Source organism: Homo sapiens, chromosome 14, assembly GCF_000001405.40.
Source record: "Homo sapiens chromosome 14, GRCh38.p14 Primary Assembly".
In the NCBI taxonomy this organism is placed as follows: domain Eukaryota; kingdom Metazoa; phylum Chordata; class Mammalia; order Primates; family Hominidae; genus Homo; species Homo sapiens.
In genome coordinates this window covers 86331583-86358248 of record NC_000014.9, presented here as the reverse complement: position 1 = coordinate 86358248, position 26666 = coordinate 86331583, and the positions used below count along the sequence as shown (strand labels likewise).

Below are 26666 nucleotides of genomic sequence, written 5' to 3'. Positions count from 1 at the left end.
CATCTCCACCTCCCTACACTATAAATTTAAATGATTAGTGCTAATGTGCACTCACAAGCAGGTGGGTTCTTGGCTCTTCAGAGTCACTGGAGCGAGGAGTTGAATGATGTGTGAAATGAAAAATCCTATCCAAAGCTCAGAGGGAGTTGAGAGAGGACTGTGCTGTGGGTTCCTGGCAGCCCGGGTTAGCATCAGTGAGAATCACATTGATGCATAATAAAAGCTCCTGAGCCTCCCACCACTCTGGGTGTGGGCAGGTGAGTGGGTTTTAATGAGCTATTTTATGCCTGTCCTTGTCTCAGTACATCTCTCTTATCTCTCCAGCTACCCAGAGTTGTAACAATTAATAGTCTCTATCACAAAGTGAAGTGTTAGGTGAGAAAATTACCTGGACAACTTGAGCTAAATGATTCAAATTACCTCTATTTTCCAGAGAAATTAAGGGGAAATAAGGAAGAAATTGGAAGAAGGAGGTGGTCTTTAGAAATAGTAACTTCAGTTCTTTACTTTGGTTTTTTAAGGGATCAAAGGTCTACGCTTAGAAGTATCACATGCTTCTCTTTATTAGCCTGTGCAAAATAAAATAAAAATAATAAATTAACCTCATATACACATGCACACACTATATAACGATAACAAAAATGATAATAAAACACACTCCTGCACAATGAGATAACAAGTAAAAATGTACAATAGTATCCCCTCCGCCACAGTGTCACTTTCCAAGCCTTCCATCACTTGTGGTCCACCAGAGTCTGAAAATAGAATGGAAAATTCCAGAAATAAGTAATTCCTAGGTATTAAATTGGGAGCTGTTCTGAGTATTGCGATGAAATCTCAGGATATTCTAGAATGTGAATCCTCTCTTTGTCCAGCCTCTTCATATTGTCTATGCTGCCTTCCTGTTAGTCACTTAGCAGCCATCTGTGTTATCAGTTTTACAGATCACAAGAAGACGGAAGAGAGCAGAACAATAAGATATTTTCAGAGACAGAGAGAGAGAGGGAGAGAGATCACGTTCATATAGCTTTTATTAGAGTGTCAGATTGTAAATGTTCTATTTTACTATTAGTTATTGTTAACCCCTTACTGTGCCTAATTTATAAATTAAACTTGATTGTAGGTACAGATGTGTAGGAAAAATCACAGTATATATAGGGTTTGGTACTATCTGAGGTTTCTGTCATCCTCTGGGAGTCTAGAAACATATTTTCCATGGATAAGAAAAGACTACTTTACAAAAGTATCTAAGCTCTTTGTAAAATGTGAAGATTTTCAATTAACTTGTGACAAGTATTAAGTGACAAGTTTTCCAGGATTGGCTGGCTGACGATAGAAGGATTGGGGTTTGGGGAGAAGTGACAAATACCTGTAATAGACAAACAAACCAAAACAACTGAATTCAGGGTGGCTGGACCCTCTTAATCTCAGAAGAGATTAATCTCAGGACTTCATTAGATCTGACTTGTAACATTACAAGCAAAAATTAATTTGTTAGTTTCAGTATATCCCCAAACTGAACCACCAACTATCACACAAAGGTTTCCCTGGAGCACAGAGGATCTGATTTTTAATTTTGACAGTTACCCATTCGTTTTGGTGTGTATTTGAGAAAAATACAACTTGGGAACAAACATGTGGTCCTCTGAACACTATTCCTTAGGAGGAGACTAACTTAGAAAGTATACCATATAGGCCAGGCACGGTGGCTCACGCCTGTAATCCCAGCACTTTGGGAGGCTGAGGCGGGTGGATCATGAGGTCAGGAGTTCGACTAACATGGTGAAACCCCGTCTCTACTAAAAATACAAAAATTAGTTTGGCATGGTGGTGTGCTCCTGTAATCTCAGCTACTCAGGAGGTTGCCGGGATGTGGAGGTTGCAGTGAGCTGAGATCACACCATTGGACTCCAGCCTGGGTGACAGAGTGAGACTCTGTCAAAAAGAAAAAAAAAAAGAAAGAAAGAGAGAAAGAAAGGAAGGAAGGAAGGAAGGAAGGAAGGAAGGAAGGAAGGAAGGAAGGAAAAAGAAAGAAAGAAAAGAAAAGGAAAGGAAGAAAAGAAAGAAAGAAAAAGAAAGAAAGAAAGACAGAAAAAGAAAGAGAGAGAGAAAGAAAGACAGAAAGAAAGAAAGAAAGAAAGAAAGAAAGAAAGAAAGAAAGAAAGAAAGAAAGAAAGAAAGAAAGAAAGAGAAAGAAAGAAAGAAAGAAAAGTAAATAAATACCAGCTGGGCGCGGTGGCTGACGCCTGTAATGCCAACACTTTGGGAGAAGGAGGCGGAGGCGGGTGGATCACGGGGTCAGGAGATGGAGACCATCCTGGCTAACACGGTGAAACCCCGTCTCTACTAAAAATATAAAAAATTAGCCGGGCATGGTGGCGGGCGCCTGTAGTCGCAGCTACTTGGGAGGCTGAGGCAGGAGAATGGAGTGAACCCAGGAGGCAGAGCTTGCAGTGAGCCGAGATCCTGCCACTGCACTCCAGCCTGGGTGACAGAGCCAGACTCCATCTAAAAAAAAAAAAAAAAAAAAAAAAAAAGTATACCATATGACAAAACTGGTGAAAGCAGTACCTAAATGACAAATCCAGGAAGCACTGAGATACAGCAATGCCAAGGGCTTAAGGGCTTAAAGGGTTTTAAGTAAAGAAGTATCACAATTCTTAAATATTTTTCTAAAATTAATAACATGTTTCGCTTTCTTTTCAAGTGATTTTCTCCCCTCTAACCTGCACATTATCACCGTCATTCCACCATTATCCCTGATTTTATGCCATTTTATTCAGCACCACCATCATAATAGCTCAATTTCTCAAGTAGTTACCATGTGTGAGGCAGCAGGGTATTAAGTGCTTTAAATGAACTATTCCACTGAATCTTCAAAATAATTCTGTAGGAGACACCATATTTATTCCCATTTTCCAGATGAAGAAACTGAAGTTTCGAGAAGCTACCCCTAAATCTAATTTGTTTTTGAAGCTTATTTTTTCCTTCTGAAATTCCCACCTCATTACCTGTATCTCCTGTATATTAATGGTATAATTAAGAGTATCATAATAATAGCAAAGACTTACTGACCACTCATATCTTTAGGACACTGGTTTAAATGGTTACAAAGATTGCTTTATTTAGTACACACAAGAACCTCTCAAGTAGATACTGATATTATCTTTGTTTCACAGATGTGAGAATGGAAGTAGAGAGAAGTTAAACAACTTCTCCACTGTTACATAGCTATGGAGTGTAAGAACTGGGGTTTGACTGCTGGCAGCCTGACCTCTGAATATATTTCCAAGAAAAGGCGTTTGCACTCACCCTTAGTCGTGCCTGTGCGGTGGGACAGACAGAGAGTGCACCAGAGTCAGGGGAAATCAGTCAGGTTATCCTGGGGATGCTTGCCTGTGAAAGCCTAGACAGAGCTGTTAAACCCTAACATCCTTGTTTCTGCCCCAGGTTTTTGTCACATGTGCTAGATTTACTTGTAGGAAAGAAAGGGGAAGAAAAGAGCAACAAGAGGGCAAGAAATAGGGAGAAGAAAGGAAGAGAAAAAGAGAATTGAAGCAGAGCAAGTCACATTGATCTTATTCTCCTGTGTCTCCAGTCTTGAATACATTTGGAGATTTAGAAATTAAAAAGTTTTTCAAAGAGCTTCTTGGCTAAATTGACCTCAGTGTTCTGAGACATTCCAAAGCAACGGTGGGGCTCTGTCACACCACCTCTAAAGACAAATCTGCTTAATAAGCTGAACTCTTCAATTACAGATAGTTAGAAGCCAAATTATGTTCACAATGCCCTTTAAACAAAATCCTCCATTCTCAGATTCAGCAATCAGGTTAATCTTATGAATATAAACAAGAACCGACATGATTAAACTCTCTTACATCAAATGTATTAATCTAGTACCAAAGGGATGCAGACTTTTTGTAAAGTGCTTTCTGAAGACTTCTTGGTTCAAACTACTTAATATTTTATCCCTAAAAATTTCAATGTTATTTATTTATGGTAAGAGAATCCAAATGCTTTATAATGCAAAACACGTGATGAAACACGTGGTGATATAAAATAATTAATTTCTAGCTTATAAATTTCAGAGACTAAGGGTGGCAACCCAAATCATCTGTAGGTGCATTCTTTACTTACTTACATGGGGGCAGTTCCATACTTTCCTTTTACAAGTTAGCAAAGAAACATTTGTTTTTCTGTTCAACCAACAGTTACCTCTAGCAAATCAACAAGTCATGCAATCTTTAGCTTCACTTCTTGAGTTAGGCTATTTCTATGTTCCTTGACAAATAAGACTTGAGATAAGTAATGGCTTTTAAAACTATTAGATATACCAAAATGCAGTGATAACACTTATAAAATTTATTAAAAATAAATTATACGGCTTTTAGTCTATAGGAAATGGTATTATCAGCTGACAAAACAGAATGCCACTTCTATCTAAGGCTTCACGCAACCTGGCTACAATTTTCCTTAGGCTGATTGGAAATAGCAATTACAGAAAATCTGATCAGTGCAATTGCTTAAAGTGGATCAATTGCATACAGAAGTCCTAAGGAAGAGATGACATATTTAATTACACAGCAAACACACATTAGCTGAGCTTTTAGGAAAATAATGATAGCTAGGTACAGAAAAATAGACATTATAATATTTATAAGAAGAAACATGTTAATAGTGACAGTTGATAGAAAGAAAGGCAGCCACTGTAGTATCCAGGCTTTTCTTGACTTAAATTTTACAACACAGAGAGAAAGATGCAATTAATAACCCCACATTAAAAGGGATTCAAATAAGGCTAAGAGAATTCATGATTTTCACCCAATATTATCCATCTGAGGAGTAACAGAGACAAGATTGCAACCCAGGTCTTTATATCGCTCAGGTCTGTTCTCTGAATTGCTGGGTTTGACTTTCTACCAGCACCATGGGAGGAATGGTGAGAATATAGATAATGGAATATATGATAATTGTGCAGATTTTCCATCAGTGATAGCCAAGTAAAATTTATACACATGAAAAACTCCAAAAATACAATAATTTCTCTTTAATTCAGTATGACTATGAGACTGCACAAATGGAACATAGCAGTTACATTTAATGAGAGAAGCCTTAGTATTTATGACATTTCCCTGCTCCTGGTCTGAAAGGTGGGTGACATTTTGGACAGACAGAGAACATGAGGAAGCCATTGCTGACTAAGAAGAGATCCTAAAACAAGTTGTAAAGTAAAATATACACTTGTATTGTCCTTTAGAGTTAAAAGAAAATATGTACATTATTTTATCTAATGTTTACTCAATTCCTCAAGAGTAGGTGAGCTGGAGATTATCATCTTGATTTTAAAGATAACATTTTGAGGCTCAGTGAGGCCCAATTAGTGGAAAAGCCTGAATGGAGACTTAACTTTTCTGCTAACCAGCAGACTTTCTAGTATATCCAAGGCGGTAGAATAAGCATGCTGTGTGTGGTGAGGGATAACAGATGAGGGTGGTTGGTTAAGAAAAAAAGATCATAGTCTTTGATGAGAGTAGAGGGAGGTGAATATGGATATACAAATGCAGCCAGATAATGAAAAATTGTACAGAGTACATGTAGGAGTTTAAATATAATTGAGATAGAACGAGAGATAGTGTGGTTTGTTGAGTATAGTAGGAAATATCTCCTATTGTGTTTGGAGTCATGCAAACCTAGGGTGAATAGGATAAGCTATCTTACCTGTCTAGCCTGTAGGTTCCTTACCCTTAAAGTGAGACTAGTAATACCTCTGTGACTAGGGATTTATGGTGACAATAAAAGATTTATTTCATAATGTATATAAGATGTATATGGCAAGCTCTCCATGGAAAACAGTGATTGTGATTACAACTATGAATGAAGTGAAAATGAAAACTGTATTTGAAGTTGCTTAACCAGGAAGCTGGGTGGGAAAGTAGAGAACAATGAGACCTGGAGTCAAGGGGCAAAAAACCATGTGACATTATTTTTAGATATAAAACCCTACCATCCTCCATGAAATTCTTTACTGGTTTCCAGTTACACTTGGAATAAAATTCAAATTCTAAAGCCCTTCTTACAAACACATGCATAATGTGACTACTGCATGTCTCTTGAGGCCTTTTTTATGTTCTTTAATCTCCTCACACACTGGGGTTATTTAATTTCTTGCTAAATCAGTCTTCCTAGAATATCATTTTCCCAACTCAACACTTGGCCTCAACTTAAAGGTTACATCAGTAAGCCTTCTCTGACCTATTGTCCTATCGCATTTCATTAATTAATTACTAATGTTTAAAATTTTATATATATATATATTTATGTTTGTATTCAGGCAATTGAATTATTGACAAGGAAATAGAGAAGTAATGTATTAATTAAGCTGAGCTGAAGTTCTCTGAAGTATAGTACTCTAGACAATATAAAGAAGAAAAAGGAGAAGACCCTCTCCAGGGAGATTTTCAGTATGCTCAAAGTAGAGTCATATATATTACATTTAGAGATATCAACACAAGTAATTCCAGATATGATCATAGTGATTACTCGCCAAACTAAAGGGAATTTTAAAAATCTCTAAGTGCTAGAGTCGAAGAGGGCATGAGGCAACTGGCTATTCTAAGAGCTCTAGAGGAAACTATCAAGGATTTTACCACTTAGAAACATGAGAAGTCTAAATACTGTTACAAGTTTTCTCCGAGCTGAAGAAGCTTTGGTTTTAAGCTCTTCGAGCCTGTGGATTAATGCTGTGTACGTGTGTGCCTGCATGTGTGTTGAGTGTGTCTTTCATCTTCTGTGCATTTTTGTGTATCTGTGGTTTGTTTTGAATGTTTTTTGGTGAAAGTCATATGTGTGACAGTGAAGTCAACAAGTTGACAGCAATGGGAATTGTGCCACTTGATGGAGGTCATTTCATTGCATGTGGCTTCAGCCTTATAGCCCCAGGCTCTGTCATGGCAACATCACTACAGTATCAAGGGTTAGATTGTCAGAGGTCTTCTATGTCCAACTAAAAATGTCCCTTGCAAGTAATTCATTTGTTGAAGAAGACTATCATATTAAACCCAAAATAAAATTTTAAAATATTGCACAATAAAATAAAACAAATTTATGATCCCATATAATATTTCAAGAGGCATCTAGTTGGTTATTTATGTATTTTCATTAGATAGATACCCTACTTATGTTATGGAAAAGGTGAGTAAGAAATAGACCTGACAGGTTAATATTATTTAAGAGATGTAATAAACCTGAATGTCGTTATGAAATTTGATGAACATTTTTCCTAAAGTTAAAGAGATACTGGTTTACTTCACTTCATCAATTTCAACCATTTTTGTTTTAATTTTTGACAAGAAGTACAAATGTAGAAGACAAGTATCCCACTGTGCCCTTGGGTCTGGCATCACTGAAAAACAGCAAACATGTCACCAATTGACTAGTGGAAAGAAAAAAATACATTTAACAATGTCATAATAAAGAATCTTGAAATCTGACAGCATTGGGAAGACTTATGAAATAAAGAGTGAGCATAATTTTGAAATTCCATCTCCTAAGGAATTCTTTAAAAATCAACCATGAACGCTGGTTTTTGGAGATCATCAAGGTAGGAGCGGATCTAGAACCAGGAACCAAAAGTCCAGATCAGACTGACGAAGGAATGTTTCTAGACCCTGTTGCTCTCCAGGACAACAATTTATCCCTTCTTTAAATAGACTTTCCCTGATCACCTATTCAAAATAAGAAATATCATTTACCTTCGTCATACACCATCGGTCCTTCTGTTATTTATTGTGCTTGAAATTACATTGTTTATATGTTTGTTCATTTAGTTACACAAGTCATACAATAGTAACTGACACATAGTGAACTCTAAAAATATTTACAGCAAATGACGTGAAAACAAGATAAAAAACACAAGGAAGATGGAAAGGCTATGGCATTATAACATGTTAGTTATCTGCTCAGAATTTATTTCATTTTTTTCTCCCATAGCTCAACACATTTTGTAATATAACTATAGTAAAATACAGTAATTAAAACATTTAAAATCAAAAAGTGCTGCATTCATTCATTAAAGGGTTATGTTAATTATCATCTTTCATTAGAATTACAGCACTATGTCTTCAAATCAGAATTAGATGGAATAACTGTGAATATCAACATGGTTTTATCCTTGGAGGAAAATTAATTTTTTTACTTTTATGTATTATCATTTATGTATACATTTTTTTTTCTTCTGAGGTGGAGTTTCACTCTTGTTGCCCAGGCTGGAGTGCAATGGCACGATCTCGGCTCACTGCAACCTCTACCTCCCAGGTTCAAGCGATTCTCCTGCCTCAGCCTCCCTAGATGCTGGGATTACAGGCATGCGCCACCACACCCAGCTGCTTTGAATTATTTATTCCTGTATTAATATTTATAGAGTAGCTAGGGTCTGTCATTTTCCTAGTATGTTCCGTAAAAGACATAGATAAGTCCTGCCTTCTAGGGATTTAGAATCTAGTAGGTAAAAAGATAAGGAAACCAACATACACCAGTGCAATATGGCAATAAAGTTAAGCACAGTGAACTATGAGAGCACAGACAAGCAGACCCCAACCTGGCAGAGGTGGTCAGAGAAGGCTGACAATAGAAAGGTGGATGGATACCAAAAGGTAGAGGTTAGGTCAGGCTGAAAAAGTAATTTCTATAGCAAACAGAGAAATTCAGCCTGTTGGTATGACTGGGCAGAATTTATTTAGGAATTATGGGAGATAAAGATGGAGGGGCTCATATCACAGGAGCCTTTCATACCATACACACTACAGATAACATACATTAAAAAGCTATTTTCCATCCAATATGACTGAAACTGGAACTTCCTTTCATACCACAGGAAGCAATAGTTTGCAAGAAGATGAGCTGATGTGAGAAGCAAGGCTGGGATCTCCAGAGACACAGACAAATAGAATAAATACATGAGGACACTTATTATATAAATCAGAGGCAGAAAAGTCCCACAGCCTGTTGCCTGCAAGCTAGAAACCAAGGAAAGCTCGTGGTGTAATTCAGTCTGAGTCCAAGGGCCTGAGAACCAAGAACACCAACATTGGCAGACAGGAGAAGATGGATGTCCAAGTTAAAAGAGAGAAAATGAATTTGCTCTCTTCTTCCTTTTGTTCTATTTGGGTCCTCAAAAGATTGTATGATGCTCACCACGTTGGGAATTGCACATCTCCTTTATTCAGTCTACTGATTCAAGTGGCAACCTCTTCTGTAGACACCCTCACAAACACACCCAGGAATAATGTTTTACCAGATATCTGGTCATCCCTTAACCCAGTCAAGTAGACATATAAAATTAACCATCACAACCACCAATGTTCTCACATTTACAGATTCAGAAATTTAATTTGTTTAATTCATCCGGAATTCTGAAGAGTTTAGAATGACAAAATTCATAAGAGGCAGATACTATTATGTCCAAGTATAAAAGAAAACTTAAATCAACTTGTCAGTCCATTTTCTCCTGGGCAACAGCCTAGAAATTGGACAAGAATGGGATAATCTTATTAAAAAATATATTAAAATAAGTTATTATAATAAACCCATTCAACTATGGAGAGAAAAAAATAGAAAATTAATTATGTGCATGGTCAGAGTCACTCAAAAGGACTAAAAATAAATTCATGTTATATATTGTCCTTTGAATCTCCTTTTCTAAATTTCGACATTACATACTTAAAAAATATTTCTCCTACACTTTTCAGTGATATATAATAAACTACTTTTTAAGCTAGATGCCTCAATGATATTTCAATATATAGATTATGGTCTGATTTCTATTATTTTTCCTTTTCAGAGGGTGATTTTCCCTCCTAATTCTAGGTCTTTTTATTGGAGCAACATCAGCATTTATAAAGTATTATTGGAGTCCAGAAAATACATTACCAAACCCCTTTTAAAGATTCCCAAACTTCCACAGGGTGTATTTGAGGAAAATGTGGACATTGAGGCTAGTTTTATCTTTAACTCAATGCTGGGTATGCCTTCATCACTATTAAAGCCAGGGCCAAGATTGTGCTATAAGCAGAGGGTCAGCATCAGCCATATCAGGAGCACTGCAGTCATGAAGATGAGGGCTTTTGCTTATCTTTCTTGTTCATATTCTATTCTGTTCTAATCTAACTTGTAAAAATGGGAACTTATTTACCAACAAAAAATAAAAAAAGAAAGATAAAAGTGCCCTACCTCTGGCACCTCAGCTAGCTACAGACTTGAGAAATAGTACAGCCTGTGTAGACAACAACCTTAGCTTACCTTATCCTGTGTACACTTTCCAGTAGACATAATAAAAGGCTTTACCATAGTCATAACTACCTGGAGTTTTCATCAAGGTACTCTTTAGACCTTCAACACAAATTTAATTTGAATCTTTTATGTTCATAAAGCTTCAATATCTACTCTTCCTACCCCATATTTTTATTTTATTTTTGATTGCCTCTGCCCTTGCTCTTTCAAACAAGATCTAAATGAAAAGTGTCAGAATATTATATCAAAAGCCATTTAGATTGTTTTTGAATAAAGTGCTGGAGTGCAGATAAGTATTCAAACTTCTGAGTGCTTGGTCTAACCTATTTTGCCTTTCAGTGTGCCTTCAGGAAGCAATTTCTGAACTGTGACAAATGTTTCTCATCACTGTAACTCGCAAATGAGTCCGAACTCCTAGAGGTGTAGGACAATTGTTGACCTTAAGGATAAACAGGAAGAATTTCAAGTAAATGGCTTGGACTATCATTATCAAGACTGATATTTGGTGACTGCTCTGTCCCAGCCCCTGCTGAGTGATGTGCTACATCATTCCAAGACCTGCATCATTTTATCAGAAAGAACGTCTTTGAAAATTCATCTCATAGCAGAGTCAATATTGCTTCTGCATGTGGATTTTTATTATCATCTATCAAAAACATAAAAAAGTCTTTTTTGTTATTATTTGAAAACAACTAAAACTGAAAACTGAAAACTGAAACTGAAACTGAAAACTGAAAACTCCTCTCTAGGTTTATTCATGTTTGGTATTTCTAAACAAATAGAGTAAATTGCTGGGTGTAGTGGCTCATACCTGTAATCCTAGCACATTGGGAGGCCGAGGCAGTAGAATATCTTGAGCCCCGGAATTTGACACCACCCTGGGCAACATGGCAATACCCCATTTCTACCAAAGGGAAAAAAAATTAGCAGTTCCTGGTGGTGCATGCCTGTAGACCCAGCTACTGTGGAGGCTTAGGTAGGAGGATAATTTGAGCCCAGGAAGCAGAAGTTGCAGTGAGCCAAGATCATGCCATTGCACTCCAACCTGGGAAACAGAGCCAGGCCCTGGTTTAAAAAAAAAGACTAGGATAAATTAACTTAGTCTTTCTTATATCTAATTCAAGCCATTTGTTTGTTTGTTTGTTTCTGTTGTTTTGTTTGTTTGTTTTTTGTTTTTGAGATGGAGTCTTGCTCTGTCACCCAGGCTGGAGTGCAATGGCAGGATCTCAGCTCACTGCAACCTCTGCCTCCTGGGGTTCAAGCAATTCTTTTGCCTCAGTCTCCCAAGTACCTGGGATTATAGGCACCCACCATCATGTGTGGCTATTTTTTTGTATTTTTGTAGAGACGGGGTTTCACCATTGTTGGCCAGGCTGATCTTGAACTCCTGACCTCAGATGATCCGCCTGCCTCAGCTTCCCAAAGTGCTGGGATTACAGGCGTGAGCCACTGTGCCTGGCCCCAAGCCGTCTTTTTTAATTGTGTCATTTACATATATTGACTACTTTGTGAGTGATTTTATATTTACATAATATTTCAAGATGATTCAGGTGCTGTGCAAATATTACATTCTTTAAAGACTGCTAATTTTTTTTGGTCTTTTTAAGGAGAAAGAAATGTATTACATAGACATTAAAGGTCATTAATCTTGAGTGAGGAGGTGATGTCAGCAAGATGGCTAACTAGAGGCACCTATGGCTCATCCTCTCACAAAAAAGGGACAAAAACAACAAACAAACAACTACATTTTGACTACAGGGTCTGAAGGAACGTGCTGAAGTACAGAGAAGGAGTGGCAGAGACCCTGTGGAACATACAGACTCAGGATGGCCAAGAGAGAAGAAAACAAAACACTCTGCTCCTGCCACCCCATCTCACCAATCAGGATCAGCTTGAAACTATGAGGGACATCTCCTTATAGGGAAAAGGCAATCAAAAGCCTCCAGAATCCCCTATTGACACCACAGGCATCTGCAATCTTTGCTGCTGGAGAATCCTACAGTTTTTTACAGGTCATGAGACCAGTCTGGGGAGCTACCAACAGTTCACATAGTTGTGTTGCTCTTGAGAAGGGCCACATTGTGCTCCTCCCCCTGTGATCCAAGCTGCTGCTGCTGCATGGTGTCGTGTTGTAACCAGAGGCACTGCTAAAGTGTGTTCTGCTCCAGGGGCCAGTAGCCACTGCCTCTCCCAATCACCGAGGCTCTGTCACCATTGTACCATACTCATATATGATAGTGCACAATTCCCCAGCTGAACTGCTACAGAGCCCTACCCCTGGGAGAAAACTGCTTAGGAAGCACTTCATCTACCCCATTCCAATGACTGCAGCACTCTGCCTTTCTGCACTTGGAGCCTAAATCCAGTGAAACAGCCATCATCTTGGTGTCTGAGTCCATGTGGTGCCTTGCCTCCCAAGGAACAGTTGGACAATTGGTCCTTCCCATGGGAAAGCTGAGTCCAAACTGGCACTTCTTTGGCACATAAAACAGCTCACCATCCTCTCACCTCAGGAGCCCCACCCAAGATGCTGGAACAGCTACACAAATTCCAGCAGCCTAGGCCACTGAGGCAATCTCAGGCATTGCTGACATTGACTACAACTGAAGAAACTTCATGGAGACTACACTACTGTGTCTACTTTAAATGAAAGCCAAAGCACACTACCTAACCAACACCATAGGACACATCTATAGGTAAAAGTCTTTCTCTACAAAAGCCACTTCATAAAATTAGAAAGAAAACCATTCTACCAGATGCACAGATATGAATGCAGGGATACAAGAAACATAAAAAAGCAAGGAAACAAGACATCACCAAAGAAACACAGTAATTATTCAGTAACTGACTCTGAATAAAGAAAATTTACAAGCTCCCTGAAAAGAAAGTGAAAATAATAATTTAAAGAAAACTCACTAAGATGTAAGAAAACACAGACAATTCAATGAAATCAGGAACAAAATATCACACAGAAAGAGATAAAAAGAGCCAAACATAAATCTTGTACCTAAAGAATTAAATGAATAACATTTAAAAAAACACAATCAAGAGCTTCAACAGCAAATTAGATCAAGCAGAAGTAAAATTTCTGAACTTGAAGACTGGTCTTTTGTGTCAGAAGAACACACTCAGAAGAAAAAAAAATTACCCACTCAGGAGAAAAAAAAAAGAAAAAGAATAAAAAACATTGAAGAAAACCTACAGGACTCGTGGAATGCCATTAAGTAAAGAAATTTCCACATCATTGAAATTCCAGGGGAGAAGAGATAGATGAGGGCACAAAAAGTAATTTAATAAAATAATAGTTGAAAACTTCTGAAGTCTTGGAAGATGTATGGTAATTCAAATCCACGAAGCTCAAAGAACACCAAAGAGATTTAATCCAAAGAAGTCTTCTCAAGAAACATTATAATAAAAGTATCAGAAGTCAAAGCCAAAGAGAGAACTCTAAGCAGCAAGAAAAAAGTGTCAGGTCACATATAGGGAATCCCCATTAGACTATACGCAGGTCTCCCAGCAGAAATCTTTCAGGCTAGTAAAGAATGGGATGATATATTCAAAGTGCTGAAGGGAGGAAAAAAAAACCCTGCCATTCTGCAATATTATATCCAGCAAAACTGTCCTTGAGAAAAGATGGAGAAAGAAAGTCTCTTCTAGAAAAGGAAAAGCTGAGGGAAATTATCACCAGCAGACCTGCCTTGCAAGAGATGCTTAGGGAGTGCTTCAGCTGGAAGCAAAAGGGCAATCATTACTATCATGAAAACACGTGAAAAGATAGTCTCACTGGTAGAGGAAAATTCATTAACAAATTCAAAATACTTTGTTACTATAATGGTTATTATATAAACTTTCAAGTATGTAGTATGAAGGTTAAAAGTCAAATGGTCAGTGATAACTATTTATAGTAAGTTGTTAAGAAAAAACAATATAAAAAGATATAAACAAAGAAACAATTTATAAATTGGGAGGGGAAGTTAAAAGTGTAGGATATACACATATATGTACATATATAATATGTGTAACAAAACTTAATTTATTATTGGCTTAGTTTATTTTATCTAAAATATTTTCATGTAAGGCCATAGTAACAATGAAGAAAAAAATTATGACAGATACACAAATGAGAAAGACAAAGTTATCAAAGCTTGTCACTACAAAAGAATCACCAAACCACAAAAGGCAAAATATAAGAGAAGAACAAAGACTATATAAAACAAACGAAGCAGAAAACAACAAAATGGAGAGAATAAATCCTTACCTATCAAAAACAACCTTGAATGTAAATGGAGTAAATTCTCCAAATAAAAGATACAGAGTGTCTTAATTCATAAAACAAAAACAACAATAATCAACTATATGCTGCCTACAAGTAATCACTTCACCTGTGAAGACACACAGATTGAAAGTGAGGGGATGAAAATTATTAACCCATGCAAATTAAAACCAAAAGAGAGTGAGAGTATCTATGTTTATATCAAATAAAATAGGCTTTAATTAAAAAATATAAAGAGATAATAGAGGTCATTATGCAATAATAAAGGGGTCAAATGGACAAGAGAATAAAAGAAGTATAAATATATCTGAACACAGCACAGTGAATATATAATGTAAATGTTGTTAGATCTAATGGGATAGAAAGACTGCAATAGAATAATAGTAGGAGACTTTAACACCCTGCTTTCAACAATGGACAGATCATTCAGAGAGAAAATTAACAAAGAAACATTGGATTTTAACTGCATCTTAGGCCAAATGGATCTAGTAGAGATTTACAGACCATTCTATGTAATAGCTACAGAATACCCATTTTTCACAACAGGACATGGAACTTTATCAAGAATAGATCACGTGTTAGGCCAAGTAGAGATTTACAGAACATTCTACGTAATAGCTACAGAATACCCATTTTTCACAACACCACATGGAAGTTTATCAAGAATAGATAATGTGTAGGCCACAGAAACTCTCAACAAATTAAAAAAAAATTATCTCAAGTATTTTTTCTGACTTTCTGACCATAGTGGAATAAAACTAGAAATCAATAATAGAAGGAACTTTGGAAGCTATAAAAATACATGTAAATTAAGCAGCTTATTCTGGAAAAAAAAAACAGCAACAACAGGTCAATGAAGAAATTTAAAAGAAAATTTAAAAAATTTCTTGAAACAAATGAAACTTTAAATACAACATACCAAAACCTATGGGATACAACAACAGCAGTTCTAAGAAAGAAGTGTATAGCAATAAACATCTACTTCCAAAAAGCACAAAGATCTCAATGAACCAACTAAAACTATACCTCAAAGAAGCAAAATGCAAGAACAAACTAGATCCAAGATTAGTAGAAAGATCAGAGTGGAAATAAATAAAATAGAAAATAAAAACAATACAAAGGTAAACAACATGAAGAGTTGGTTTGTTGAAAAGATAAAAAAAAAATTGACAAACTTTTAGCCAGATTAAAAAAAGAGAAACGACTCAAATAAAATAAATCAGAGTTGAAAAAGGAGATATTAAAAATAATATTACAGAAATGCAGGATCACTGGAGACTATTATGAATAACTATTTGCCAACAAATTGGAAAACCTAGAAGAAAGAGATAAATTCCTGAACATATTCTACCTACCAAAATAGAATCATTAACAAATTAAAAACCTGAATAGAACTATAATGAGTAACAAGATTGAATCAGTAATAAAAAACATCTCCCATTAAAGAAAAGCACAGGCCCTAATAGATTTATGAGTTCTACTAAACATTTAAAAAACAATTAATAACAACTCTTTTCAAACTATTCCAAAAAATTGAGGAGTAGATAATTCTTCAGACTTATGATATGAGACCAGCATTACTCTGATACCAAAACCAACCAAGGACAGAACAACAGCAACAACAAAAATAGGCCAATGTATCTGATGAAAATAGAGGCAAAATTCCTCAACAAAATACTAGCAAACTGAATGCAAAAGCAAATTAAAAAGATAATTCACTATGATCAAGTGGGATCTATCCCATGGATACAAGGATGGCTGTATTAGTCTGTTCTCATGCTGCTATTAAAAACATATCCGAGACTGGGTAATTTATAAAGGAAAGAGGTTTAATGAACTCACAGAACCACATGTCTGGGGAAGCCTCACAATTATGGCAGAAGATGAAGGAAGAGCAAAGGAATGTCTTACATGGCATCAGGCAAGAGACCGTGTGGAGGGGAACTCCCCTTTATAAAACCATCAGATCTTGTGAGACTTATTCACTATCATGAGAACAGCTTGGCAAAGACCCACCCCCATGATTCAATTACCTCCCATTGGGTCCCTCCCATCACACATGAGAATTATGGGAGCTACAGTTCAAGATGAGATCTGGGTGGTGACACAGCTAAACCATATCAATGGTTCAACATATGCATATCAATAAACATGATGCACTAACAGAATCAAGAGCAAAAAGTATATGATTATGCCATCTCTGATTTCTTTGAGCAGAGGTGTGCGGTTATCCTTATAGAGATCTTTCACCTTCCTTGTTAGCTGTATTCCTAGGTATTATACTCTTTCTGTGGCAATTTTGAATGGGAGTTCTTTGGAATTTGGCTCTCAGCTTAAGTGTTGTTGGTGTACAGAAATTCTAGCAAATTTTGCACATTGCTGCTGTATTCTGAGATTTGCTGAAGTTGCTTATCAGCTTAAGAAGCTTTGGGGCTGAGACAATGGGGTTTTCTAGATATGAGATCATATGATCTGCAAATAGGGATAGTTTGACTTCCTCTCTCCCTATTTAAATGCCATTTATTTCTCTCTTTTCCCTGATTGCCCTCGCCAGAACTTCCAATACTACATTGAATAGGAGTGATGAGAAAGGGCTTTCTTGTCTTGTGCCAGTTTTCAGAGGGAATGCTTCCAGCTTTTGCTCATTCAGTATGATCTTGCCTGTAGGTTTGTCATATAAGGCTTATATTATTTTAAGATATGTTTCTTCAACACCTAGACTATTGAGAGTTTTTAACATGAGGGAATGTTGAATTTTATCAAAAGCCTTTTTTGCTTCTATTGGGATAATCATGTATTTTTTGTCTTTAGCTGTGTTTATGTGATGAATCACATTTATTGATTTGCATATGTTGAACCAACTTTGCATTCTGAGGATGAAGCCTACTTGATCTTGATGAATAAGCTATTCCATGCTCATGGATAGAAAAAATAAATATGGTTAAAATGGCCATACTGCCCAAAGCAATTTATAGATTCAATGCTATTCTTATTAAACTAACATTGACATTCTTCACAGAATTAGAAAGAACTATTTTAAAATTTGTATGAAACGAAAAAAGAGCCTGAATAGCCAAGGCAGTCCTGAGCAAAAATAACAAAGCTGGAGACATCTTTCTACCCAACTTCAAACTATACTACAGGGCTACAGTAACCAAAACAATATGGTACTCATACAAGAACAGACCCATAGATTGATAGAACAGAATAGAGAACACAGAAATAAGCCAATACACCTACAACTATCTGATTTTTGACAAACCTGACAAAAACAGGCAATGGAGAAAGGATTCCTATTTAATAAATGGTGCTGGGATACCTGGCTAGCCATATGCAGAAGATTGAAACTGAACCCCTTTCTTACACCATATACAAAAATTAACTGAAGATTAAAAACTTAAATGTAAAACCACAAACTATAAAAACCCAAGACAAAAACCTAGGTAATACCCTGCAGGACACAGACATGGGCAAAGATTTTATGATGAAGACACCAAAAACAATTGTAACAAAAGCAAAAATTGACAAATGGGATCTAATTAAACTAAAGAGCTTCTGCAGAGCAGAAGAAACTACCAAGAGAGTGAACAGACAATCTATAGGATTCAAAGACAATTTTGCAAACTATGCATCTGACAGAGGTCTAATATCCAGTATCTATAAAGTACTTAAATAAATTTACAGGAAAAAAACAACCTCATTAAAAAGTAGGCCAAGGACATGAATGGACACCTCTCAAAAGAAGACATACATGCAGCCAACAATCAAAAGAAAAAACTCAACATTACTGATCATTAGAGAAATGCAAATCAAAACCACAATGAGATGCCATCTCACCCCAGTCAGAATGACAATTATTAAAAAGTCAAAAACAACAGATGCTGCTGTGGTTGTGGATAAAAAGGAACAATTTTACACTGTTGGTGAGAGTGTAAATTGTGGAAGACAGTGTGTCAATTCCTCAAAGACCTAGAGGCAGAAATACCATTTGACCCAGCAATCCCATTACTGGGTATATTCCCAAAAGAATATAAATAATTTATAAATAATTATGTTATAAATATACATGCATGTGTATGTTCATTGCAGCAATATACATTATAGCAAAGACATGCAATCAATCTAACTGCCAATTAATCATAGACTGGATAAAGAAAATGTGGTACATATACACCATAGAATACTATGCAGCCGTAAAAAACAAAGAGATCCTTTGGAGGAGCAGGAGGCCACTATCCCTAGCAAACTAACACAGAAACAGAAAACCAAATACTGCATATTGTCACTATTAAGTGGGATGTAAATGGTGAGAACGCATGGACACATAAAGGGGAACAACACACACTGGGGCCTACCAAAAAGGTGGAGGGTGGGAGGAGGAAGAGGATCAGGAAAAACAACTAATAGATACCAGGCTTAATACCTGGGTGATGAAACAATCTGTACAACAAACCCCCATGACATATGTTTACCTATTTAAGAAACCTGAACATGTATTCCAAAAGTTAAACTAAACGTTTATAAAATTTTAACAAAGTATATGATTATTTCAATAGTACAGAACAAAACATTTGATAAAATTCAACATTCCATTATGTTAAAAGCTCTCAACAAATAAAGTATAGAAGGAATGTTCTTCATCATCAACATAATATAGAAGTTGAAAGTGATCCCTCTTAGATCTGGAACAAGCAAAGTTGCCCATTTTCATCACTTTTATTCAACATAGTATTGGAATTTCTATCCAGAAAAATTAGGCAAGAGTAAGAAATAAAGAGCATGTAAATTGGAAAAGAGAAAGTCAAATTGTCTCTTTTTGAAAATGAAATGATCTTATGTATAGAAAAAATTGAAGGCTCCAGCAACAACAACAAAAAAACTGTCAGAATAGATATACACATTCAGGAAAGCTGCAGAAAACATAATCAACATACAAAAGTAACTAGTATTTCTACATGTCAATAGCAAACTCTGAAAAATAACCAAGAAAGCAATCCCATTTGCAATAGCTATAAAAAAATCCCTAGGAATAAATTTAACCATGAAGATGAAAAATCTTTACAATGGCAACGATTAAAGATATTTCTATCAAAATACCAATGACATTCTTCAGAGAATTAGGAAAACAATCCTAAAATTTGTATGAAGCTACAAATTCTTGTTGTAGCCAAAGAGATTCTGAGAAAAAAGAACAAAGCTGGAGACATTATACTGTCTGACTTCATATTACAAAGTATGTACCAAAACAGCATAATGAAGACATAAAAACAGGCACATAAATTACTGGAACAGAAAAGAGAGTACAGAAATAAATTCACAATTTTACAGCAAACTGATTTTAGACAAAGGCACCAAGAACAACTATTAGGGAAAGGATAGTTTCTTCTATAAATGTTGTTGGGAAGACTGGATATCCACATTCAGAATAATGAAACTAGACTCCTATTTCTCACTGCATACAAAAAATCAATTAAAATGAAAGACATAAATGTAAAACCCAAAACTATAAAGGCACTAGAAGAATGAGAGAACTTAGTTGCAAACTGTACGTGTAAAAAGAGATTAATATCCAGAATTAATGAAGAACTCAAACAACTGAATAGCAAAAAAACAAATAACCTAATTAAAAAATGGGCAATAAATATAGAGTAGAAGGATAGTTACCAGAGGCTGGAAAGGGTAGTGAGGGTAAGGTTGGAGGGGAAGTAGGGATGGTTAATGGGTACAGAAAATAGAAAGAATCAATAAGACCAAGCATTTGATAACACAACAGGGTGACTATAGCCAATAATAATTTTAAAAATACATGTAATAAGTCTACATATGTATGGGGCACAATGTTATGTTCTGATACATGTATGTATCGTGTAATGATTAAATCAGGATATTTAACATGTTCATAATTGTACATTTTAAAATAACTGAGTGTAATTGAATTATTTGTAACACAGGAGTAAATACTTGAGGTGATGGATACCCCATTTACTCTGATATGATTATTACACATTGCATGCCTGTATCAAAATGTCTTAGGTACCCAATCACTATATACACCTATTATGTACTCACAAAAATGAAAAATTAAAAAAAATTCAATGGGCATGATACCTAAATAGATATTTCTCCAAATAAGCTATACAAATGGTAAATAAGTATACGTAAAAATGCTCAACATTTGTAACATCAGATAAACGCAAATTAAAACCACCATAAGATATCACTTCATTCCAATTCTAATGACTCTTATGAAAAAGACAAATACCAAATGCTGGTAAGCAAATTTAAAAAGGGAAACTCTTGTACACTGTTTGTGTGAATGTAAACTAGTATAGCCTTTATGAGAAACAGTATACAGATTCCTCAAAATATTAAAAATAAAACTACTATAAGACTAGAAATCCCAATACTGAATATTTATTCAAAGGAAATGTAATCAGCATGTTGAAGGGAGGTCTGCACTCCTATGCTTACCGCAGCACTATTAACAATAGCCAAAATATGGAATCAACTTAGTGTTCATCAACAGCTTGGATAAAGAAAACTAGTACATATACACAAGGAAACACCACAGCCATAAAAAAGAATGTTATTCTGTCATTTGTGGCAGCCCAGATGAATCTGGATGACATCATGTTAAGTGAAATGACACCATGTTAAGGCATGGAGAAACAAATAGTGCATGATCTCATTTATATGTGGAAAAATTGAAAAATATATAAGATCATGAACATGTTAAATACCCTGATTTAATCATTACATAATACATACATGTATCAGAACATAACATTGTGCCCCATACATATGTAGAATTATTACATGTAATTTTTTTAAGTCATGAAACATAATGGTCCTAAGAGGTAAGAAATATTTTTCAACTATGAAGGATCAAACCATCCCTTCCATTTTGGGGAACAAATGTCTACGTTTGCTTAGTGTGCAGTACAGCTTCTTACAGTTTATAGTTTCATAAACAGAGGTTCATGGATTCTATGTTTTTGCTAAGAATGTAAAACCCAAATAAGAGATTCATCCAGAAATGTATCTTGTTTTTGTTCTAAATAAATTGGTTTAAACTAGATACAAGTAGACAAATCTTGTTTTCTGCGTCAAAAGTTCAAAGAGGATATTAAAGACCTTCACAATTCATATAAATAACTAGAAGTACACTTGAAGTGCCCACCTGCTAATTGGTCCATACTTACCTCCTTCCCTAGTGCCTTCTGAAGCCAAGGAAATGTTAAGCACTTTATAGCCTGTGAGTTGTCTCTGTGGAAAGACTATTAATCAAGTCAAAAATCAATCATCTAAAGTCACATTGTAACATTTAGCTTGAGACCACTCTAGTATTTTCAAAATACAAATATGAGCTGTCTGTTTATGCTAGAGATTTAAAACCTTAAAAAAAAACTACTTTAAAAAAGGTGAAAATAACAGTCAATTTTGGCTTGGCTGAAAGGTGATTTAATTATTTTTAAATATTCATTCATTTATTCATGCAACTATTTTTTAAAAACTTATTCGTTGAGCACTAGAACCACATGCTGTTAAGTTAGACTTAGTCTGCAAAGAAGAACAATATTGTCGTCCCTTTTGAGAGATGAGTCTGGTCTTACACAAGGTCTTTCCTTTAGAGAGATATTATCTTAAGCAAGATTTTACCTTAAAAAAGAAACCGAAAGAAAGCTAGATGAAACACAAGTTGATATTGGTCGCAATGTTTAAAGCAGTGGCACCATGGTGCAGATTGTAAAGGGTCTGGCTTTAATTCTGTTGACCTTGGACAAGTCGCATAATCTCTTAAAAAGATTTCCTTCTCTGAATAAATGGGAATCATAAAAGAGGTAATCTTACCTTATGATTATGAATATTAAATGAAGTATCTTCAGTACAATTAAACTAGCATTAGGAAATGTTTAATAAATATTACCTATTGTTACTATTATTCTTTCAAAAGTATATTCTTTCTGAAGCAAAGTCCTTAGTAGGTATAGAATATAAAGCTACTAAGTCTTTATGAAGGAATAGAAAAATCCCACAAAGAATGGTGTAACATGGTATGAAATCCAGCTGCTTACTAGTTTTGCATAGTAGAAATATTTTTAGAAGTGTCATTTGTAAATTAACCCCCTCCTGTCCATGGTCTAATGAGATTTAGAAAGGATGGCAAGTATTTTTGCTTATCTCAAACCGTTACTCAATTCTTGGTATAAAATCACTATTAGAGATAATTTCCTTCTAATTTCTAGCAAATTATTATGGGACTTAAGTATATTTATGATGGGAAATGATGTAAAATATATATTTTAATGTCTTTAAGAAAAGAACAAACAAAAATATATGCATAGAGTTAACATATTGTCATCTGCCCTAGTTAATCCATTGTTGAGTTTCCTTTGACTTTAAGCTTACAAATATTATAGTCCAGCTGTTGGCTGAAACAGGTCTCCTTCTGTCAGAAGTTTGCAAGAAAGAAGTTACTAGGATGTTATACCTCAGTTCCCATAAACTTGAGTGTGATAACAAAGTGGTCTACTCTCAGTTGTGATATCTTTGTAATAATGAATGAAGATGTTCATAATGAGGACGAAATCATTTATTGAGAATTACTGAATCCACATTCTTTAATGAGAATTGTGATGATTATGTTCATATATAAGAATGTGGAAGGACAAAAAAGTTTCTATTATCAGACTTCAAGTCCTTTTTACTGCGCATCAGGTAAAATTTTGACCAGTGGTTGCAATCTGAAACTTCTGTACATCCCACAGTATATCTGAGGCAAGATGTATTTCTCGGGCTTCAGTGCCCAGTCTTTGCCTCTGCACTTACTCAGTATATAAGATGAATGTATTGATAGATATTGTTCATTAAATCCTCAGAGAAAGTGATATGATTTGGCTCTGTGACCCTACCCAAATATCATATCCAATTGTAATTCCCACATGTTGGGGAAGGGGCCTGGTGGGAGGTGATTTGATTATGTGGGTGGTTCCCCATGGTGTTTTTGTGATAGTGAGTGAGTTCTCATGAGAGCTGATGCTTTAAAAGTGTGTGGCAGTTCCGCCCTTGGTCTTTTTCTCTGACTCCTGCTTTTTCGTAGTAAGACGTGCTTACTTTCACTTCACCTAATGCCATGATTGTAAACAGTTTTCTGAGGCCTCTTAGCCACACTTCTTGTTAAGTCTGCAGAACTATGAGTCAAGCTTCTTTTCTTCATAAATTTCCCAGTATTGGACAGTTCTTTATATCAGTGTAAAAATGAACTAATAGAGAAAGCTTTGTTTCCCTCCAATGTCTGCAAAATTCTGTCATTATTTAGATGATTATTAAACTGACTCTAACTTGACTTCATCTTCATTTGCAACTAAAATGCTTTAGCAACTCTAATCTATCTGTAGGATTAGTATTTGGAGATGTAGGGAAAGTGTCAGATCTCTTAAATATTTTCTTGTTGAGAAGATTCATTCTGTGCTTAGAGGGTGTTGTGAAAATGGATTCTTAATTTTTGCACAAACATGAGTATCATGATAGTTTCTAAGCAGCATCATCACACATATTCTCTACATGGGACACTAGAGCACTTCACAATTTAATCATATTTTGGGGGGGTTACATTTATTACACACTAATTGGCAATTGTTGCTAAGCTATAACGTTTCTCTATTTCATGTTAATCATAAATCCTCAACTAGGTCATCTACCCACAAAATTCAGTCATAATGCTTTTAAGATGTGTATGTCTGAAGTAATAAAATATTTTTACATTATTTAGGAACTGATTCTGAAGATATTTTGGAAAAAAAAAACCCCAAAAAACAAAAAACAAGGCTTCCTAAAGAGCTTGAGAATTTTGAGAATTAAAGGGCATTCCCTGAAGCCTTCTGTGAAGATGCAGATGAAAAAGTCACTCATCTGGCAGATTGTTTTCAAAATCAGTTGCATGACTTTACATCCAAACATTGCACAATGAGAAGTATTTGATAATAGTTCCTTTGATTGGGTAACTGAAAATAAAATTTGAAACCATAATTCTAACTCAATGGCATGACTAGACCAAAGATGACAGCATGTACCTCTTTCTCTGCTAAAGACAGTAGATTCTTCTTCCTGTTTTTTTCAAAAAATTATTCAGGACTTTTCTGCAAGGCCCGCCTTTGATGCAGCTTTTATGTCAGACTCTGAATGTCTAGAATTACCTTCCTGTAGGCTAACTCCTGATCGTGTGGTCTTATTTCATTATAATTATCATTATAGTTCTGGCTACAGGGTTCTGCTTAGTTTTCCAGAGTTACAATTCCCTCTTGACTATGATTAAACTGTGTATGGATTCATGGACCTGGAAAATTTAAACAGTCCAATTTAATGAAAAACAATTTTCATAGGCATCTGGCAATGGTCTGAATATTTCTATAAGTTAGCTTTTTGCATATTAAACTTCTAAAAGAAATAATTAAATCAACTTTCATAATAACCCACTTGGAGAAAGTATGTTCTGTATGTTTCCAACAGCCCACTGATTTGTGTATCAGTGTACTTCCTCAGCAGTTTTGGAGAGAAACAGATAATTTATATAAATTATAATCGATAGGAGTCTGCATTGCTGAGCATTTTAGAATAGCCTCTTGGGTATATTATGTAGTTAGAGACTAAGAAATTAATCTTATCTGCTTGGATTCTTTCATTAAGGCAAGATTTAAATCAATTAATTATAATTTAGAAAAATGTTAAAGCAAGAAAGCTTTCAGAATGAAAATTGTATTTGTGTAATTATGAAGAAAGTTCTTTTTACTTCTAAAAGATGGCTTCACAAAATGCCATGTCGCAGGTTCCTTAAGTTGCTTATAAACATTTTCATTATGTTTTTATTTTCCATCTCATGAGCAATGTCAGCTGTGAAAACTAAGCATTTATTAGTGATGGCATGCTAGTTTGCTAAGAAAGATACCTCAGACTCACTCAGAAACAAGCAGATAAACTTTGTAGTATTTTGAATCTTTCAGGCCTGGGCATGATTTGTATAACTATTAAATAACACGATGCTTTCTGGGAGAAATTCAAAAAATAAAACAAAACAAAATGAACACATAAAAAACAACTCCATTGAGCCTTAAATGTGATTTTGATTTTAAATTATTAGTTGAGGGAGGGGGTAAATGCCCCCTTATGTATTTTGTCTGGCTTTTTCTGGAAGTCTAGATAAATAAGAATTTGGAAAAATTGCTGCTACCCAAATATTTTTATTGACAAACCCTTACCAGATGGTAAAGCCAGTTGGGAATGGTGTTTGCCTTTCAGTCAAACTTGATCTGGGTCTCTTCTATTGCTGGTTCTTCTATTTCTCATAGGACAATAAGCCACAGCCCATATATGATATTAACTTTCTGTATATGTAAATAGATAATACCAAGATAGATTTGTGAGTCAAGTAATACAATGAATGTTTACAAGAAAGTATAGATACATATCTTTAATACATAACCCTTGAATATCTTTCTATGGAATTAAGAACACTGATGTTTCATTCAAAAGCAAAACCCTATTCAAAAGAATATGGTTTATACAAACAAAAAATTACTTGCTTTAGAACCCAATTCTTGATAAACCTAATGAAAATTAATGCATTTCATGATGGCCAAATATAGTTTATCTCTGTTTTAAAGTTGAAGGTATTTGTAGTGCTAAAAATTCACAGGTAGTCAATAACTACAATAATGATGCTGGTGAATCTAAATCACAATGTACATTTGGAATCTTAATACTAAGCAATACTAATAAAATATTTGATTGAGCTGACAAAACATTCACTGTTTAAGTAAGTAATTAAGCTAGTGCAATCAACAGAAAACTATTTAAAGAGTCAATGGCCTTTCACGAAAGAAACAAATCTACAGTTTTATCTTGTTTTATAATATCTGCAGGCATGTTTTTCTTCCACCCACACCTCCCCCCCCGCCTGTTTTTTGTTTGTTTGTTTTGTTTTGTTTTGTTTTGTTTTGTTTTGTTTGCTTTCCCTCTTACCAAGCTAATAATCCTTGGGAAACAACAACAAAAAAAGGACCTTATTCTGTCCCTGCTGTTTATCACTTTCCTGAAATCTTAATCCTCT

The 26666-nt window shown here is 35.3% G+C and overlaps 1 long non-coding RNA gene across 1 annotated transcript; it reads right to left on the bottom strand.

Moving 5' to 3' along the window:
- Nucleotides 1-538: 538 nt before the first annotated feature.
- Nucleotides 539-26666, bottom strand: LINC02309 (long intergenic non-protein coding RNA 2309). The gene is made up of 4 exons (XR_944113.3): nucleotides 26579-26666; nucleotides 25816-25941; nucleotides 21763-21837; nucleotides 539-755 (listed from the first exon to the last, which is right to left on the bottom strand). It is a non-coding gene; the product is annotated as a long intergenic non-protein coding RNA 2309 (long non-coding RNA).